Source organism: Homo sapiens, chromosome 3, assembly GCF_000001405.40.
Source record: "Homo sapiens chromosome 3, GRCh38.p14 Primary Assembly".
Taxonomy (NCBI): domain Eukaryota; kingdom Metazoa; phylum Chordata; class Mammalia; order Primates; family Hominidae; genus Homo; species Homo sapiens.
Genome location: NC_000003.12, coordinates 152,001,145 through 152,022,496, shown reverse-complemented (window position 1 = coordinate 152,022,496; position 21,352 = coordinate 152,001,145). Strand labels below are relative to the sequence as shown.

Sequence of the window (21,352 nt, the reverse complement as noted above, 5' to 3'; positions counted from 1 at the left end):
TTCTTACTTTCTCCCAAACAGAGTCTCTCTATTCCTCTGTTCTGAGCCACCTAGATCTGGGAGTGGTGTGACACAAGCATTCCTGTGGCCACCAGCTCTGGGACTGCACTTGGTCAGACCTGAAGGCAGCACATCACTGGGTCTCACCCAAGGCCTGATGTGACAACAACCTGGCCACTGCCTGTTTTCTCAAGTTCCTGGGGCTTTACAGTCAGCAGGTGGCAAAGCCAGCCAGGCTTGCGTCCTTCCCTTCAAGGCAGCAAGTTTCCCTAGGGTGGAGTCAGAGGTGCCGTCCAGGAGCCAGAAACTGAAGTCAAAATCCTTAGAAGTCTACCTGATTCTATTGTACTGCAGCAGAGCTGGCACTCAAACCATGAGTCACAGTCCTTCCCACGCTTTCCTCCCTTTTCCCCTGGCAGAGAGGCCTCACCCCATGGTTACCACCCCCACAGACCCAACAGAATACTGCCAGGCTACTGCAGATGTTCCATTAAGGCCTAGGGGCTTTTTAGTCAGCGTATGGTGAATGCTGCCTGGCCCAGAACTCAACATTCAGAGCAGTGGGATCCCCTCTGGCCTAGGATAGGTCCAGAAAAGCCAAGGGCTGGAATTGAGGATCCCAGGAGCCCACTTGGTGCTTTACACCCCTGTGGCTGAACTGGTACCTAAGGTGCAAGACAAAGTCCTCTTTACTTTTTCTTCTGCTTTTCTCACGCAAAAAAGTTTCATGTGAAGCCAGCAAGTCTCAGATTCTCTCTCAGGGCCCACAGTGTCCTACCTGGATACCACTGCTGGTTATTCAGGGCACAAGGGCTCTTTAGTAAGCAAGTAATGGATCCTGACAGGACTGGGCTTTTTCACTTGAAGGCAGCAGGTTTCCTTTTGGCACAGGGTATGTCTAGAAATGTCATCTGGGAGCTAGGGCCTGGAAAGGGGGCCTCACAACTCTGGCTGGTGCTGTATCCTACTGTGGCCGAGCTGGTAAGTGAGATACAAGACAAAGTCTTCTTTACTCTTCCGTCTCCTGTCTTCAAGCAGAAGGAAGGAGTCTCTTTTTAAGCCATGAGCTGTGCAGCCTGGAGTTTGGGCAGAGGTATAGCAAGCACTCCCTTAGCCACCCTGCCTGGTGTTTCACTTGTTCTGAGCTCAGTTCAGCCCTAGGACTTACCTAGGAGTTGCAGTCCTTATGGCATAGAGTGTTTTCAGTTTGTTTAGGGCCCTGGAATGCTTTAGCCTATGGCGATGAGGCTTGCCAGAACTGAGTTCCAACCGCTGGGATGAGTGATTCCCTTTTGGCTAGAGTAAGTTTAAATACTCCCTCTGTGGGCAGGCCTCAGCTGAGTTCAGCCCAGTTTTGCTTTCTGCTATGACAGGGCAATACTGAGCTCACTGCAATATCTCACAACTACTGCATTCACCCTTTCCCAAGTGCACAGATTCTCTCTGTGCCATGCAACCACTGCTGGGGGATGAGGGAGGAGTGGTGGTGGCAATTCAAGACTCTTTTCTACCTGATTCCAGTGCCTCTTTCAGTGATATGAAGTTAAAATCAGGTACTGTGAGTGCTCACCCAATTTTTGGTTCTTATGAAGGTGTTTTTCTGACTAGACGGTTGTTAAATTGGTGTCTTTGCAGGCGGGATGATTGGCGGAATCTTCTATTTGACCGTCTTGCTCTACTCCTCAAAAAGTTATTTGTTTTAATAAAGTGGGATACAGAATACATGCTTTTGAAATCTTTAATGGAATACATCAAGAAAATAGCACGTAAAATATTTCATAATGCTAACTAACCTTGTAACGCTATGTGTGTCTTCTGCTCAATTGGATAGTAAGTAAGCTCTTTTGGGAAAAACACTGAGCTAAATTAATTTTTAATTTCTTTTGAACTTCAGAATTATGTACAAGAATATATCCTCAATATTTTGGAATAATCTCGTATAAATTTTCCAAATAGGCTGACTTTGGAAAGTATGTCCTATAAGAGACAAAGAAAACAACTCTAGAATCTATCCCCTCAATATGAGTGACAGCCAACCAAGCAAAATAAGTCTAAGTAGAGGATATCAGGATTTCAGCTATAACCATGATTAGAGAAGGTGATGTGCATACAAAGTTATATTGACATGGTGAAATAACTATTTGAGATTAAATAGGTAAGTTCAAATCATTTTTTTTATTGTGGCTTATTTATAGTTCCCCTGTAATTTCTACTTTACTCTTTACAGTTTTGAGGTAGAACTTCTCAGCCTATGTGCCCTCTCTCTGGCATAAACAGAGAGATCTACTTACTGGCATAAAATTTAGACCCCAAAGTGTATTACTCAAATATGCTGAAACTTTATTTCTCCCAAATAACATTAATGAGTAGGCTGAAAATTTGACAAGGGAGGTCTGCTCCACCTAGTCGCTTAGAGATCCAAGCTGCCAATGTTCTGTCAACTTTAAAATATGCCTTCCAAGGTCATGCTTTGTTTGAGTTTTATCCATTCTGGTCAGGCCTAAAAGGGTTGAAAATAAATGAGTGTTATAGGGTCTAGGGCTGGAATTGGCACATACCATTTTTATTCACATTCTATGATGGAAACTTAATAACTTTGCTATACCTAACTGTAAAATAGCTGGGACACTTAGTCCAACAGTACTCTTAAAAGAGAATGTAGATTTTGGTGAGCTGCTAGCAGCCTTTTCTGTGTTCCTTCCCATTTTATTAGTGATGTGTCACCCTCTCTTCACCCTCATTGACTTATCAGTGGTGAATATCTGACATATCACAAGCTTCTAACATATCACAAGCAGGAGAGAGAGTGAGGGTGGGATGAGAATGAAGCAAAACAATGCGAAAAAGGACACGAGGCAGAGACTGAATTTCTGTTGACTTTGCAGTTGCTGATCCTAATCTCTTTCAAAATAATGACCAGTTAGTCTGGCTGATTCATGGGATAATATCCTTTTGATTAAGACCAATTTTTAATTAAGCTTACTTAAGTTCATTTTGTTGCTTTAAAGCATACCTTTTAACACAATTATATCAGTGAAAACATTTTTACCGATTGGGAAAGAGTTAGACAGTTATTAATCCTGTTCTCCCACATGTTAACTGGATGCCTTTTGGAAAATTATACCTTATACCTTATTGAGTTTCTCCCCATCTGGAAAATGCGAACAATAATCTGCACCTTTCATTATCACTGCAATTTTTAAACAGTAAACCAAATAAAGCACAGAGTACAGTGCCAGACATATGGCATATACTCAGTAAATGATATTTCTGATGATAGTAATGAGGATGATGTTGATGGATGTTGACAGATATCAAATGGCACTTGTCCGGTATATTTTTTCAGTTGAACTAGTGGCTTACAGCTGTCCATGAGGTTATGTTTTCTCTGATTTCCAGGTGAGAACAAAGCCAAGAGAAGTGTATGATGTTTCTAATTAAGAACCTGAACTATTTTGCCAACTTCTGTTAACTGACTATAGCCAAAGTTCTGCTAAATGCAAGAAAAGATTTTAGAAAAACTCATCCTAAATCAACTAGTGCCAATTCTGCAAGGGGAAAGAATTTTTGTCATTTGTTTCATATTTTTTGGCCAACATTGCTTTAGATCTACTTTCCAGAATATGATTATATCAATAACTTAACATTACTACAATCTACTTCTTTCTCGAAAAGCTAAAAATCTGAAGACTAAAAGATTTGAAAATATGTCTGTTATTCCTAAGAAAGGTAAAAATGGAAGGTATAATTTAATCTGTCTAACTCTACTTGATCAACTCACCGAATTAACCATTACTCCCTATAACAGATGCAACTGAAGTGTACTTAATTTAATCCCACTTAACAAAGTCACCCAATTAACCAACATTCTTCATTCCTACTATAAAGTTGATAGATGTTCACATAATTCTGCAATCTCAAAGCTAATGGATTACTTTCTAATATTAACATATGCATAAAATAAATGTTGAATGGGGAGCAAAAAATGATTGAAATAAAGCTGAAAATTCTAGAAGAGTTTGGCACCCAGAGTGCTTAACACACATGCACACACACATATACAAACACACACTTACTTTAAAATAGACTAAACAGGGAAATGTCAATGCTGCCTTCTAGGCTTCTGGTATCTGCATTAAGATGATGAAATTCTAATCAAGCAAGCTGTGATCAAATTCAAGTTCTTCGCAATGAGTCAAAATGTTGTTCAATGACTTTACATTCATATGTATTTTAGCTTTACCAGTTTAAGTGATATGTCTTTAAAAATGATATTTCTCTTTAACTTTTTTGATTAACTTGTTAGTTGCCTATTCCAATCTTGTTGAATGAGAGGGGGATTACTCTCCTGTTACTTGGTGCTTTTTGAACTAGATTCTTGTAGCTTACAGAATATTTATTGACAATACCTAGACTCTTTGATCATCTTTTTCATCTAACTCATATGAACCAGGCCATTGAAAGAACTATCAGTTGCTCCAGGAATACTGTAGTGTGTTTAAATATCAAAGAAATGGAACCATTGCATAAGAATGCTTCCTATTTGGGATGCACACAGTAGTCAGAAAAAGTAGATACATAGGAAATTAGATAAATAGCCAAATATATCCTGAACTTGTATTCTTATAAGTTTTAAAGAGGGAGCAAAAGTGACACTGAACTTGATAAAAAAAAAAAAAAGTAATGATAAAAGCGACAATTTGTAATACCCCAGTTTAGAAGACTCTTCCAATAGTCATATATAGCCCAGAGGCAAAATTTTTATTTTATTAAAATCATTCCCCATGACAAAAAAAAAACAGGTAAGCTCAAAATACCAAAAACAGAAGAATAATGCTGGCAACTCACATCACAAGCAATAAGCTAAAATACAAATCAATATGAAATGACCAGCAATTCAAAAGAAAATGAACAAAGAGTACAGAAACAATTATGAACATAAAATTTATAGATAAAAAGCTCTGAATGATTTTTAAACATATTTAAAGACTTCACCTTTACTTAGAATGTGAGAATTGCAAATAAGCCAAAACTGAAATGCCATTTTTTTTATCCCTGTAAGACTGGTAAAAATCAAAAGTGTAATAACAGATATTCTTGTTGAGGGTGAAGAGAAACAGATATTTTCATACATTGCTGGTGGGAACATAATGTAGTACAATCTCTAAAGAGAGTAATTTGGCAATATCTGTCACAGTGACAAATGTGTATAACTCTTTGTTCCTGTAATTCTCCTACTTTTTACTTACATACTCCTATTTTGTGAAATTGCTTTTATAGTATCATTTATAAACAATAAAAATAAAAGAATGACTACATATGCCTATGGCTATATAGATGATGTTACATGCATACAATTGAATGCTATGTGTCTGTATAAAAAGCAATTTTTATTTCCCTTAATATGGTACACCAGATATCCAGGAAAGCTTATCCAAGAAATCCACTATAAAGCAAGTAAGCATAATGAATTAATGTCAAATGCATATTAGATAACAGAGTTAAGTTTGCAATAAAAGAACTCTTTAGAAGTCAAACTTGAAGCTAAATCACAAATTCAGACATAAACAAGCACTAAAAGTAGTGGTTGCCTAAAGAACTTCCTATTCCTTAATGACTTGGAGCATCAGTATTAAGAACCATGTAAAATAGAAAAAAAAAAAGGCCAGAACCATGCATTTTGGGGAGTTAAATCAGACTTTCTCATAAAAATGGGCCACAACCGTAATAAAACTGTTACTAGGTTGGATGGGGAGTGGGAGACCCTGTAAACATAGCCAACATTGCTATATTGACCTTAGTTATAGACCAAATAATAAAATATCTCCTCTTAGAAAATGGAATTATAAGGTAGCTCTTCCTCAGGTATGTGACCCAAGTTTAAACTACCCCAGTAAGGTCTTGAATACTTCCAGCAAATAATTTATTTTAATGTAGTGCTGGGTTGATACTGTACCTTGGCACTGCAAGAAAAAAAAGGAGTGGAAGAGGATTTCTTCCCCAGTGTACCTTATGAGCAGTTTGAACATATCTCAGGAATGAAAATTGGTTTAACATCATTCCATTAACAGGTGGAAGAAGAAAAACAATGTAATCTTCTTTTTGATCATCTCAATGTGGAAGACCATTAAATAACACTTAAAATTAATTCATGTAAAAAATTACATTAATTTTTGTGGAAAACCAGGATTAAAAGATAATTTTAAAAAGCTGATTTTAGGTAATTTCTAAAGTTTATAGTAACTTCAAATTTGATGATGAAACATTAAAAGCATCCCCTTTAAAATCAGGAAAAGGAAAGGATTCTCACTTTATCATTAATATTCAACGTATATCTTAGTATCCAAGCCAGTACAATAAGATAAATAAAGGGAGTAATTATTTTGAAAGAAAAAATCCCTGTCATTATTTGCAGATAATATAATTGTCAATGAAGAAAATCAATATACTGTACAAATAAATCATTTGGAATAATGAGATTATTTAAAGAAGTTACTTTAGAAAGTATCAATATATGAAATGTCATTTGCCTTTCTGAACATCAGCAAATGTTTAATATTTAAAAGTATTAAATTAAAAATGTAATAAAAACCCAAACCAAAAAATGTGAAACATTTTATACATAAATTTATTAAATATTTTATTAAAAATTATTTAAGCAAACTAAACCTAAATGAGTAAGTAGATATGTTCATGTATAAATGGCTTAATATTAAGAAAGTTTCAATTAATTTATGGAAATGAAAAAGACCAAAGACAGCCATAACACACTGTAGGAAGAATAAAGAAAGTGGGAGAATTTACATTAATAAATTCAGGGTGTCCAGGTGGTTTGTTTTTTTTTTAAAGCAATAAAAACTAAGACAGGCAAAGCACAGACAAATAAACCACTGGAATAGGAAAGAAAGTTCCCAATAGATCTACATGATTATGAAAACTGGATGTATGAGAGAAGTACATGGCAAATCACATGTCAAGTCTTGGGGATCAGATGAATTATTTACTAAAAATACAATTAGGTATCCACATGGAAAAGAACAAAATTTGATCCCTACCTCAATCTATAAACAAAAATCAATTCCAGATAGAAGATTAATAGCAATTTTATGTGGTAGTATAGGACAATTCCTGTATTACCTCAAAATAAGAAAGGATTTTTAAAAAATGAAACACAATACAAAATTAAATATAAAGAAAGCAACTGACAAATTCTACTGCATTAATTAAATCCAAAGAGATCATAATGAAAATGAAAGATATCCTCTACTGAGTGGTAGAGGATATTTATAACAGATACACTCACAAAGGATTCATATCTAGACTATATAAACAATTTCTAAATTTCTTTTTTTTATTATTATTATACTTTAAGTTTTAGGGTACATGTGCACAATGTGCAGGTTAGTTACATATGTATACATGTGCCATGCTGGTGTGCTGCACCCAATAACTCATCAACAATTTCTAAATTTCTTAAGTAAAAGATAACTCAATAAAAAGGGCCTTTTACAAGACAGGAAATTTAAATGGCAACTAAAAATATGAAGTACTGCTAAAAAGAAACATGAAAATGGAAACTACAGTGATGCCATTAGATACCTGTTAGATTGGTGAAAAAACGAAAGAAAACAGTTTGACCAAAAAGTAGTATAGAATTGGAGAAACAGGGAATGGCACAGACTACCACAGTACATATAATTTTGATACCACCACTTTGGAAGATAATTTGGCACTACCTAAATAAGCTGAACATTGTCATACCCTATTACTCAGCAATTTCACTCCTAATATATTCCTGAAGTAAATATCTTTTGTCTGTTCTAGGAAATACAAATGAGAATATCTGTATAGGATTGAAATAACTAAAAGTGGACACAATCAAAATGTCTCTAAAAGAATGGAATGAATAAACTGTGTGCTATGTTTCTACTATGGAATATTATACAGCGTTGAATAGGAATGAACTGAAGTTACACGTAAGAATGTGTATGTATCTTCCAAGCATGTGAAATAATGAACAAGATGCAAAAGATTCATATAGTATAGTTCCATTTTTATAATATTTATACATAGACACAACTAAGCTGTATTGATTAGGAATATATATATAAATGATGAAATGACAAACAGTAGCAAAAAAACGTAACACAATAAAAATCAGGACAATGGTTACCTCTGGGATGATAAATGAGGAGCAATGGGGAGTGGACATGAAAGGATTCTGGAATGCTGAAAATGTTTTGAGTTTTACTTGAGTTGTAGTTTCACAAGAGTCTGCTTTATAATTATTCTTTAAATTATGCATGTATGTTTTATGCTGTCTTCTGTGGGTATATCTCATGAACAAGTAATTCCAGGAAGAGAAAAAAATCAACATCCAGCGAACCCATAAAAAGATTCCTAACTTAACATATAATAATGAAAAAGAAAATTAAATGAGATGCGGTTTTACACTCACTAGACTGGCAAAACTAAAAAGTATTGTGCGAATGTAGAGAAAGGTGATGGTGAGTGTAAATTCACATAAACATTTTGGAAAAAGATTTGGTATCTAGAAAAGTTGGTGCTTATACCCCTTGACTCAACAACTTCACCATTAGGTACATGTAGAGGAATTCTGGTACATATGCAGGAGGTACACACAAAAAAGTTTATAGTACTATTTCTTTTTACAACAGCAAAATATTGTAAAAATAAATTGAAATGTTCTGTAATAGGAGCATGGATAATCCTAGCTAGCTCCTCTCTGTAATTATGAAAATTAATGAATTACTATTATATGCATTAACATAGATTAATCACACACATAATATGAAAAATATGCCATAGAAAAATACATGTAGTATGATTTCTATTATTGCTCAAACACATGTAATATGAAAATAAGTAATTATCTACATACATGTGTGGTAAGATTGAAGAAAAGCAAGAGAGTATTCAATATAAAACTTCAAGTTTTTAAACACTCTGGATGGTAAATAAAAGGAAATATGAAGAGTGATGCACAATGGGCTTTAAATTTATTGGTAGTATCATATCTTAATCCAAGAAGTAGCTGCACAGGTGGTTGTCTCATTAGTACTCTACATAGCTTTCATAAGCTATATAGATGCATATGCTCTATACATGTATACATGCAACATGACTTATATATGCATGACACAATCCTTAGTTTAAAATGGGAAAGGGAGAAAATACAGAAAAAGATGACTTTTATATGTCAAAATGAAATAGCCTTCAGGGTAAATTAGTGGAAAAAAAGTAAGGCAAACAAAATGTGTATAGGATGCTATGATTAGTATAACTAAAGTATAAAATGAGAATAAATACACATTTTGCTTATTTGTATTGAACATTTTGGGGAAATTATGCAGAAAACTGGTGACTCGGTTGCCAGCCAGAAGTGGGTGTTTGGATGACAATTTTATGGGGGAAAGAATTTTCATTGGAAGGCCTCCTGTTACAGAACTTACAGTACAAGTTCTGTAAACTTTAGACTCTTGTACTAAGTAAATACATTACAACTATTATAATAGTTACAATTTAAAAATTTTAAATAAATTATCCTACCCAAATTTTCTGATGAAATGGAGTCCAATAACAAAGGACCAAGGGATTCTATCCTCAGTTTTTTCACCTAGAGCTCATAATATGACGAATTAAAAAAATCTTCCTATTGCCACAAAGGGAAGGGAATAAAGGAAGGGATACTGTGATTATTAGTTTTTTAATCACAAGTGATACACATGAAATAGTAGAATGGGACAGAATTCAGTTAACGTTAAGCCAGAAAATCACACCAAATGTCAAATTTTCACAGTCATTCTCATTAACAACATTTATGCCAGTCATACACACTGGTTTCCACAGAGACCAACCAAATTTTCTAACAGTTACTGGCTTTATAATCTGACTTTCTAACAAAAACTAGCTTATTATATTCCTGCAAAGACTAATGTTGAGTAACACAGAAGAGCAGCATGAAAGAACTAACATTGTGAGCCAAAGTAAATCCATTTATTTATAACGTGGTCTGGCCAATTTTTGGACAGTCATATTTTATAACCTTCCATGAACCTGGAATTTTCCTTTAACAATTGTGCTAAATTTACTAAATATATCATTCCATTGTCTAAAATTGACAAAGCTTTTATTTTAATAAACTGATTATTTTGTAATTTAACACTAGTAATTTTTAAAATGCTTTTAGTTAGCACAGAGCTAATTTATTCCTATTTTGCTTGTTTGCCAATTTGCTGTACTGTCATAAGGGTTGTTACTTTAAACCTTCAAGTAGTGTCTTAAAATAATCCAGGCGCTAAAGTTACTAGTCCTGGTATCCTGGTACATTATACAAGTTAACAAACATTTGTGTGACAACTATATGTAAAACACTCTGCCAGAAAGTAGAAAGACACAGAGGGAAATATATATGAATTTTATAGATAGATAGATAGATAGATAGATAGATAGATAGATAGATGATAGATAGATAGATAGATAGATAAGATAGATAAAGCTTTTCAAAAAATTTGTTTGCAGGGGAGGGCCCAGATGTACTCTGATTGGTTAATGAAAGATAGCAAAGAAAATTATTTGAATTGGTTGTGACGGTCTGTGCAGCAGCTTGGGCTTGTTGAGAAGTCTGATGTAATTGGAGCTTTCTGAATTCTACAAGGATTCAGGGCAGAAGGAACATTTTACCTCTATCCTACAAGATGAGAAGGGGGATTTTCAAAATGAAGAAGGAGTATGAGTTAGCTAAGATTGGTAGTATGGAAGTAAATGACATATTTGGAAAACAAAGAGTTGAAATAGCCTGAGTTGAAATAGCAAGTTGGGAGATCTCAGAGAAATAAGATGAGATCATGCTATGGAAGGCCATGAAAGCAATGCTAAGTCATTTACATTGTTTTTATTTTCTTCATGGCGAACCATTAAATGGTTTTGGAAATATTGGTAAAATGCTTAAATTTGAGATAATTTTATTTATTTATTTATTTATTTTTGACAGCCTCGCTCTGTCGCCCAGGCTGGAGTGCCATGGGCTCACTGCAACCTCTGCCTCCCGGGTTCCAGCAATTCTCCTGCCTCAGCCTCCTGAGTAGCTGGGATTACAGGCGCCCACGACCACGCCCAGCTAAATTTTTGTATTTTTAGTAGAGATGGGGTTTCACCGTGTTAGTCAGGATGGTCTTGATCTCCTGATCTAGCGATCCACCCACCTTGGCCTCCCAAAGTTCAGGGATTACAGGTGTGAGCCACCATGTCTGGCCTGAAATATTTTTAAAAAAGAAATATTTGGTCATTCAGATTGGCAAACAGATTTTTTAAATAAAATTGTGATAAAATACACATAAATCTAAGAAAGTAAACAGGTGAAGGAAAGAATATGGCTTGATAAATCAATTAGGAAATAGATTTCATTAGGAAGATGCCCTAGAGGTTAGCCGTCACAGGCCTTGACTAGTAATGCTGCCCACTGAACATAAAATATAATGGCTTTGGACAGAAAAGTATCATGTAGGTGGATCAGAAAAGGGTTGTATAAAGCAATACAGTAAGAGGGAATAGAATAATTTTAAGGTCACCTGGCTGATGTATTGACAGTGCCAGGAATTAAGAGCAAGGGATATAGTATTCAGCTCTAGTACCATATACAACCTTCTGGCCAGGAGCTCTTTCAATGACTGAGCAGGGACTTAGAAGGCTGAAGATGAACATATATATCCAGTTACTTTTCTTTCACAAGCTTCTGTGGAAACAGAAACAACTCAGGACATTTCAAATGAGCCAATAGTCTTTATTGAATACACAAAACATATTCATCCAAGTTCTAGGTTTTAAAGATTATAATTAAGTTTATACAGTGATATATAGTCAAGAACAAAGTTTTACATCTTATAAAAACATGCAGTCATATCTTAACACAATATTATGATGTTTCCATATCTTGTGGTATTGCCATGGGAAAACATAAATTTGTTGTTGTAAGTTTACTGCAAAATCAGCTGTCAGATAAGCCTTAATTTAAAGATAATTAGCTTTTTTTTTGTAATTGGAAACATGAGGAGAATGTGTAAAATACCCCAAAGGAAACAGACCCAGTTGGCAGAGTAAATTAGTTTTGATTTACATGAGATTTTATATGCCTAGAGATTTTGGTATGAAAAAAACTAAACTTCCAAAATCCTAAAACAATTTTAGTTCATTTTATTTCTTCTGTTTACCTAACATTGATTTATTGCTTTTTATTGCTATCTCAACTACCCCAAGCCTTTAAAAAGCTGCCTTATCATCTCTCTATGGTCATTAGACTTTGCAAAAGAAGAATTAAATTCTATATGGTAGAAGGTGTTGGTAATTTTCAAATTATATTGCAGTGGCTTCATTTTATGACAAATATAAGAATAAAAATCATCTAATTGGACTGGAAATTCATGATTATTATTGGTTATGTGTTCCTGAGCCCTAGAATGACATTCTACTGTGACCACACAATCCCTAAACAGGTACTGACTTTACAAAGACTTGAATCAACCAGTTAGGAGAATAAACTGAGTGGAGGAAGGACTGTGAAGGTGTGGAAAATTCTATCTGCCAAAGTTTTGGAACTACTGCTTTTGATATTATATGAGCAAAATGAATAAAACTAAGGGCTTTCATTGCTTCCCATCAAATCAAGATTTCCAAGATTTCCAGCTCCATAACAAAGTAGAGGATGCAAATAATATATTTTATTTATCATGTGTTTTTCTGACTTTTATTAAGGACATTTTGATGTTGTTAAAATAAATATATTATCAGGAGATAAACATTGTGAGGAAATTTGCAATATGATAAAACAAAATGAAAGCATGCCATAAAAGTCCAGTACTTTTGCTAAAATTCCACGAATTTGGAATGGAAATAACTTTATGCTAGTAGCCCCAAAGTTTTCAAAGCCTAGCAGCAGTCTCAATGAGCATCCATGGTTAATCAGTGACTGTGGGGCAATGTTTCTATACTTTTTGTTGTTTGGCTGTTGGCATAAGCAGGTTATGTCCCTTTCAGAAAGTGATGAATGAGACAGGCACTTTCTCAAGATAAGCATACATATCATGCATATGTGGATAAATCCACGTATTCATTCACAATTATAAATAATTTTAGGAGGTCTACATGCCTCCTGAACTACCCAATGAACACCAAATTTAAAATCTGAAGCTTAAAGCACCAAGTCTATACTATTCAAGCTTACCCTCTACAACTAGAGCATTTACTATCTGTCACAAACTTTTCTCCCACTGTTTCATAAAATGAAGCTTCTGCTCAAGTCAATATGATTTCCTTACTGTCTCCAAAACAAATCATGATACCAACCTACTGCTGCCATCCTCAACTGGATCCTGGATAACCTTTGTCTTTTTTCTCTTCACATTCCCAATTCTAGCAAATTAATTTAAATTATACTTTCTACAAAAATTGCCTATGATATCAGCCCATAGTTAACACTGTTTTCTCTGTAATTTTAATTTGTGATAGTGCATGTTGATTATTATAATACAGTAGGTAACATTTCCCTGGGCATATAGTAGACACCATCAAGAAGATAATGAGATCCAATATTTTAGGATATTTCACACTTAAATTCTTTCAATCAGAAACTACCAGATGAAGAAAGATGACATTGGGAACAAGGTTAACTTTACTGTGACATGTTCTCTTAAGGAGGGCCAGCAGTAGCAATATTCTATCAGAAGTAGCCATGTGTCACCAAGCAATTGATTTGTTTCACCTTGTAGCCATTTGAATTTCATAGCTAATTTATCTCCCCTCTCTGTTCACTAGAAAAGCTAAAGCCAAATTCGTGGAATTCTAGCAAAAGTATCGGACTTCATGTATGCTTTCATTTTGTTTTATCATATTGTAAATTTCTTCACAATGCTTATCTTCTGATAGTCTATTCATTTAAAAACATCAAAATATCCTTCTTGATAAAAGCCAGAAAGAAACTGGATCCCTTCCTTACACCTTATACAAAAGTTAATTCAAGATGGATTAAAGACTTAAACGTTAGACCTAAAACCATAAAAACCCTAGAAGAAAACCTAGGCAATACCATTCAGGACATAGGCATCGGCAAGGACCTCATGTCTAAAACACCAAAAGCAATGGCAACAAAAGCCAAAATTGACAAATGGGATCTAATTAAACTAAAGAGCTCTGTACAGCAAAAGAAACCACCATCAGAGTGAACAGGCAACCTACAGAATGGGAGAAAATTTTTGCAATGTACTCACCTGACAAAGAGCTAATATCCAGAATCTACAATGAACTCAAACAAATTTACAAGAAAAAAACAAACAACCCCATCAAAAAGTGGGCAAAGGATATGAACAGACACTTCTCAAAAGAAGACATTTATGCAGCCAAAAGACACATGAAAAAATGCTCATCATCACTGACCATCGGAGAAATGCAAATCAAAACCACAATGAGATACCATCTCACACCAGTTAGAATGGCAATCATTCAAAAGTCAGGAAACAACAGGTGCTGGAGAGGATGTGGAGAAACAGGAACACTTTTACACTGTTGGTGGGACTGTAAACCAGTTTAACCATTGTGGCAGTCAGTGTGGCAATTCCTCAGGGATCTAGAACTAGAAATACCATTTGACCCAGCCATCCCATTACTGGGTATATACCCAAAGGATTATAAATCGTGCTGCTATAAAGACACATGCACACGTATGTTTATTGTGGCACTATTCACAATAGCAAAGACTTGGAACCAACCCAAATGTCCAACAATGATAGACTGGATTAAGAAAATGTGGCACATATATACCATGGAATACTGTGCAGCCATAAAAAATGATGAGTTCATGTCCTTTGTAGGGATGTGGATGAAGCTGGAAACCATCATTCTCAGCAAACTATCGCAAGGACAAAAAACCAAACACTGCATGTTCTCACTCATAGGTGGGAATTGAACAATGAGAACACCTGGACACAGGAAGGGGAACATCACACACCGGGGCCTGTTGTGGGGTGGTGGGAGGGGGGAGGGATAGCATTAGGAGATATACCTAATGCTAAATCATGAGTTAATGGGTGCAGCACACCAACATGGCACATGTATACATATGTAACAAACCTGCACGTTGTGCATATGTACCCTAAAAATTAAAGTATAATAAAGAAGCCAGAAAAACACACAATAAATAAAATATATTATTTGTATTCTCTACTATGTTATGGAGCTGTTTGAGAGAAGAATGATGAAGAAAGATTTGTTGAAGAAAGAATAAAGGAAAGAAAGAGGAAGGGAGAATAAGAGGACATACATAGATTGGAATATGAGATTCATTAATTTCAAAAGGAGTAATTTTTCTTTATGAGTTATAGTAATTTGGATTAAAATAGTAATTGCCCATCTCGAGCACTTTCTATTGCTCTTTCCTGTTTTATTTGCCTGTAGGATTTATACCTGATATATCTTTATTTGTCTTTGTTCATTGTCTGTATCCTCCTCCTGGAACATCAGTTCCATGAAGGTAAGAATTTTGTTTGTTCCTTACATACTGCCCCAACCCATAACAGTTAGATACTAACAGCCTGTCCCCAGTTAGATACTCCATAAATGATTAACTAGTGAATAGATAATAAACAATCACAACAACATCATATGAATACAAGGAGAAATAGTCTCAACTAAACTGGAAATTTATATCTTCTAGTTCTATGTGCTCCAATACTAGCTTTGTACATTTGGTTCAGTTATAATATCTTCCAATTTAATTTCCTTCATTTATTTCCCTCATGACAACTTTGGATTAGAATTAGGGGTGTCCAATGTTTTGGCTTCCCTGGGCCACATTGGAAAAATAAGAATTGTCTTGGACTACATATAAAATACACTAACATGAATGATAGCTGTTGAGCTTTAAAAAAAAATCACACACACAAAAAACCCTCATAATGTTTTAAGAAAGTTTACAAAGTTGTGTTGAGCTGCATTCAAAGCCATGCTGGGCCACATGCACCCCACAGGCCGCAGGTTGGACAAGTTTGGATTAGATGAACTGTAAGATTTTATGCCAAGCCCTTTTCTCTATCAATAAAGATTATTGTTTATTTTAATGTTTATTACTCAATTGGAATTCATAAAAAGACTAGTTGTTTCTAAAATTTTTCACATTCTCTTTTGTAATCTTTGTAAAGGTCCTATTTCTGGGTTAAGAATATCTTTTTCATGCCTCATACATGCAGACCTGCAAACTTGATTACACAGACCTTAATAGCTTTATTCTTTGACAATTTTGAATGAGCAATTGTTCTTATTTTGAAAGATATCCACAATGACTCTAAATTTAATGAGTCTCCTTTAGGTTTAAAGTCAATTGAAGTAGATTTGCTGACCTTATGAATGAGGACAGCTGTGTTCTGATGAACAATTTATATTTGCAATTTCATTTTCTTTTTCTTTTCTTTTTTTTTCTTTTTCTTTTTCTTTTTCTTTCTTTCTTTCTTTTTTTTTTTTTTTTTTTTTTTTTTTTTGAGATGGAGTCTTGCTCTGTCACCCAGGCTGGAGTGCAGTGGTGGGATCTAGGCTCATTGCAACCTCTGCTCACTGCAATCTCTGCCTCCCGGGTTCAAGTGATTCTCCTGCCTCAGCCTCCTGAGTAGCTGGGATTACAGGCACACACCACCACACTTGGCTAATTTTTGTATTTTTAGTAGAGACGGGAGATGGGGTTTCACCATGTTGGTCAGGCTGGTCTCGAACTCCTGACCTCATGATCTGCCTGCCTTGGCCTCCCAGAGTGCTGGGATTACAGGTGTGAGCCACTGTGCCCGGCCCTATATTTGTAATTTCTTTTCATTACTGGCAGACTTTCCCCTCATTTACCTGCATTGCCTTTAAATTTCCTTAGTCCATTTCTCCGCAGCTTTGTATAGTAACAGTCTGGTCTCTGTACATGCTCTTCAAAAATTTCATCTATTTAAACTCATTTTCTTTGTAGGAGGTAAATGAATTCTTTTCAAGGCAATCAACCCCATATTTATTCTGTGAAAATCCTGGAAATTCTGGCCATTTTTATCAACATTCTTCCTCATTTGCTATGTGTTAGTCTCCAGTGGGGTTTCCAGGTGAACAAGTCCCTAAGGAGCTCAATCAAGTGGGGAAAGAGTCACACATATCAACGTTTCACAGCTAAAATGATTTGGTGACAGTGAATACAATGTGGAGCACAGAGAACAGAGTGACAAATAACGGCATTTTCTGAGGTAAGGGGTCACAGTCCTCTCTTCTCCTTCCCCACACCTACTTAGCATGATGCTCCTCTCCTGGCCAGTGTGTCCAAAGAGATGGAGCTCCCTCTTCCCTCAGATTCCAATAAAGCATTACTGTGATTGCTTATTGAATAGAGGGGCAGGCCTCCAACATGTCTCACCCCCTCCAGCTCTAAATGAGAGAGACTAAATTCATGGTGAGTATGGTCAGGAGGTGAGGAGCTCCCTTTTTTCACACAGCCCCTGCTAGTACGAGTTAGGTCCCCAGGTGCAGCTGCCTGAGAATACTGGAAGCCAATTGCCTTCACCCAAGCTCACTCATAGTACAGAGGTTCCAAGCTGGGACAGTCAAGCCAGGAAAACAAGAGGCTACCACCCTGTTCACTGTGCAGAAAGCAACTCAGAGATTTAGCCCAAGGGGAGAGAAAGTCTATAAGAAAAAAGAGCTCTGAAGTTCTCCACAAAGAACCTAAGTGTGTTTGAATAAATCTTTTAATTTTGATAATGTTTAACATCTGAAAATCAATTAACGTACTATAGCTCATCAGTAGAATTAAGTGACTCCACATGGTCATCTTAATAGATGCAGAAAAAGCATTTGACAAAATTCAATGCCACTTCATGATAAAAACATTCGATAAACTAGAAAGAGAAGGGAATATTCTCCACTTGATAAAGGGCAACTACAATAAATTCCACAGCTAACATATTCAGTGTTAAAAGACTGGGTGCTTTCCCCCTAAAATTAGGTACAACAGGCGGTTTTCTGCTCTTACCACTTCTACTCAATATGGTATTGGAGATAGTGTACAGGCAGTAAAATTTCACTAAATACTGCTGATATGTCCTCCAAAAATGTTCCATCTTCAACTACCATGAAAGTATTAGAATGCTTCTTTCTTTATACCATCTAAAACATTATTGCCTCTACAATCTGTGAAAAATGGTTATATGTTGCTATTTTAATTTGAATTGCTTTAATTATAATTAAAGTTGGGAATTTTGAATTTTTACTTATTTTTAAATTTTTTATTGAGACAGGTCTCACTGTTGCCCAAGCTGGATTGCAATGGCATCATCCTAGTTCCCTGCAGCCTGGAACTCCTGAGCTAAAGCAATCCATCCGCCTTAGCCTCCTGAGTAGCTGGAACTACAGGCATGTGCCACCACGCCTCATTTTTGTATTTAGGTTGGGCATTTTAAAATCTGTCATCTGTTTTCAACAGTATTTCTGCAAACTGTGTGTTTATGTCTACCTATTTTTATTTGCTGTTTTTCTGTATTGATTTATGAAAAGTTATATATTAAAAACTTTATATATTGTATATAAACATGTTTTGCAAGCTTTTTTTAGTTTGTCTTTTGACTTTTCTCATGATATATATTTTTAATATCCTAAATATTATTTAGTTACGTGTATTGGTCTTCTGTATTTTGTATATTGCTTAGAAAGGGTTTTTTTGTTTTTAAGGGTTAAAAATAAATCACTTACTTTAAGAAAAATATTTACATTTTGGTTCATCCAAAATTGTTTTATAAAGATGGGGATAGGAATCCAACTCCCCTTGCCCCCTGCCAAATAGTTGATCAGTTTATCCCTAATGATCCTTCGTCTAGCAATCTGGATGATTTCTGGAGATTCCTCAAAGTCTAACAGTTTATAATTCTAGAAGCTAAGGATTATAATTAATCTCTGACAAATCACTGGGCATAGCAAAGACTAAGTTTTGGATTTTAAGCAGATATGAACACTTTATTAACAGATTCATCATGTGGATGGGTTGGGAATATAGACTCTTGAGACCATCAAGTTCAAATTCCATATTTGCCACTTACTAGCCGTGTGATGTTTGACATCTTACCCTCTCTGTGCCTCAGATTCTCTATCTGTAAATCAAGGGTAATAGTAGCGTCTAAATCATAAGACCATCTTGGAAATTAAATGGGTTAATATATGAGTTCAAGTATTGTCTAAAACACTTCCAGGCAGAGAGTAAATGCTACATAAAAGTTATTATTATAAAAATTACTACATTATTATTACTAAAGTAGTTAGAAAACAAACAGGCTATTTTATGAATTATTCCACTCATTGCAGCCATGTTGGTCAATCTTGCTCATAGGTGGGTGTCTATGATTCCATGATTCCATGATTTCTTCTAAGAAATAAACCTGCCTAAAACCATTCTGTGTCTTCCTGCCCCTAACCTATAAGGAGACAAAAGAGAGTGGCGATGCTGGTAGTTCTGTCACAGGTGAACTATTGATTTTTCGATAAATAAATGTAAATATAAAATAAAGCATAAATACTGCTTTCCAGAAAACTTCACAGAGTGAATAGTTAAATGTCTGCCACTGGATTCGTGTCATTTTCATTTTTCAGGGGGTTGAGGGAGGTGCAGTGAGCTCTAGTCCCAGAACCCAAAGCAGTGCATAGGCAATGCATCTTCCAGGTTCTACTTTCTGGTGGCATCACCATGGATCTACATCACCTCCTCATACAAAGCAAACAACTACAGTTAAAATTATTGGACTATCAAACAACTACAGTTAAAATTATTGGACTATCACAAGAGAAGTTAAAATTTACCTACTTTCCAAATGAAACACTTACGATGCAAAAAGTAGGCTAAATTTCCTTCTCCCTCTTGTAAGATACCTATTTTATTAGCAATTATCACAATCTTCCAATTGCTCTCTTGCCTCTGTCAACAAATACTGTTTTTATCATTTTTGTATCATTTCACCAGCCTCTTAGCACAGTAACTGGTCCCATGGAAGGAACTCAAATACTTTTTGAATAAATTTGTAAAATTATTAGTAAAGCTGAAAATACTGGCTACTGTTAAGCATTTCATCAATGCCTACTTAGTGTTTTTGTTGAAGTTTAATATTGTAGCGTTTATAAAAAAATAAATTCGTAAGCTCTGAGCTTATTGAAAATATGAACGTTTTCTTATTTAGATCTGTATTCTCAAGTTCTCATACAATTCCAGGTACATGTATAATAGGTGCACAAAAATGTTATAAAATTCATGCGCAACCTGACCAATTATTGAAAATTATCTGATACAGCTAATAATAATAACTATTAAAAACAGTTGTTGACGTTTCTTAAGGTCTTTTTATAATTCACTGTGAGTAGTGACATAAGTAGTTAAATAATAAATTATCTTATTTAACCTCGAAACAAAACTAGGAAATAGGTATTATTATTCACATTTTACAAATAAAACATTGATATTTAAAAGGAAAATAACTTGCCTAAGTCATACAGTTAGTTTGTAGTAAATTGTTGACTCAACACTAGATCTATTAGATAATAAATTTTTTGCCAGCAACTACTCTGTGATATCTCTTGTTAATATCACCTAAACTCTGCAGAGCACTGAATGACACTAATGGATCGTTGGGTCCCTAGGACTTTCAGCTTTTTCTTTAAGTTTGAATTCTCATCAGAGATTGTCTTGACAGTTTGTCAAGATGAATTTGAATTTTTAATGAAAAAAAAAAAGACTTCACCTCCTTTTCATTTAGGGTACAAATAAAATTTCCCCAAATAGTATAGCTAAATGGTTAAGTCCATGGCTTGGAAATCAGGGCTGAAATTCTTGCATTTGTTGCTGAGAGCATTAGCAAGTTGCTTAACCTCTCTGTATCTCAGTTTGTCCCTTTGCAAAACGCAGATATCAATAGGCTGTCTCTTATAGAGCTATTATATAGATAAAAATGAATGGATATGTGTAAAATGCTTAGAACAGTGTCTGGTCCCTAAGTACTCTGCAAATGTTAGCTCTTATTACTATTGTTATTATTGAGGGCTCAAAGTAGCTCACCTTATATTATTATTATTATTATTATTATTATTATTATTATTATTATTTTGAGATAGAGTCTTGCTCTGTCACCCAGGCTGGAGTGCAGTGGCCAGATCTCGGCTCACTGCAAGCTCCGCCTCCCGGGTTCACGCCATTCTCCTGCCTCAGCCTCCCGAGTAGCTGGGACTACAGGCGCCCGCCACCATGCCTGGCTAATTTTTTGTATTTTTAGTAGAGACGGGGTTTCACCAT

The 21,352-nt window shown here is 35.2% G+C and overlaps 1 annotated feature.

Annotated features, from left to right (window-relative positions):
- Window positions 295-404: an enhancer, noted in NCBI's record as "active region_20702". NCBI's record gives its function as "activates an Ori minimal core promoter by ATAC-STARR-seq in GM12878 lymphoblastoid cells {active_cell/tissue: GM12878}" and the evidence as "EXISTENCE:reporter gene assay evidence [ECO:0000049][PMID:35858748]".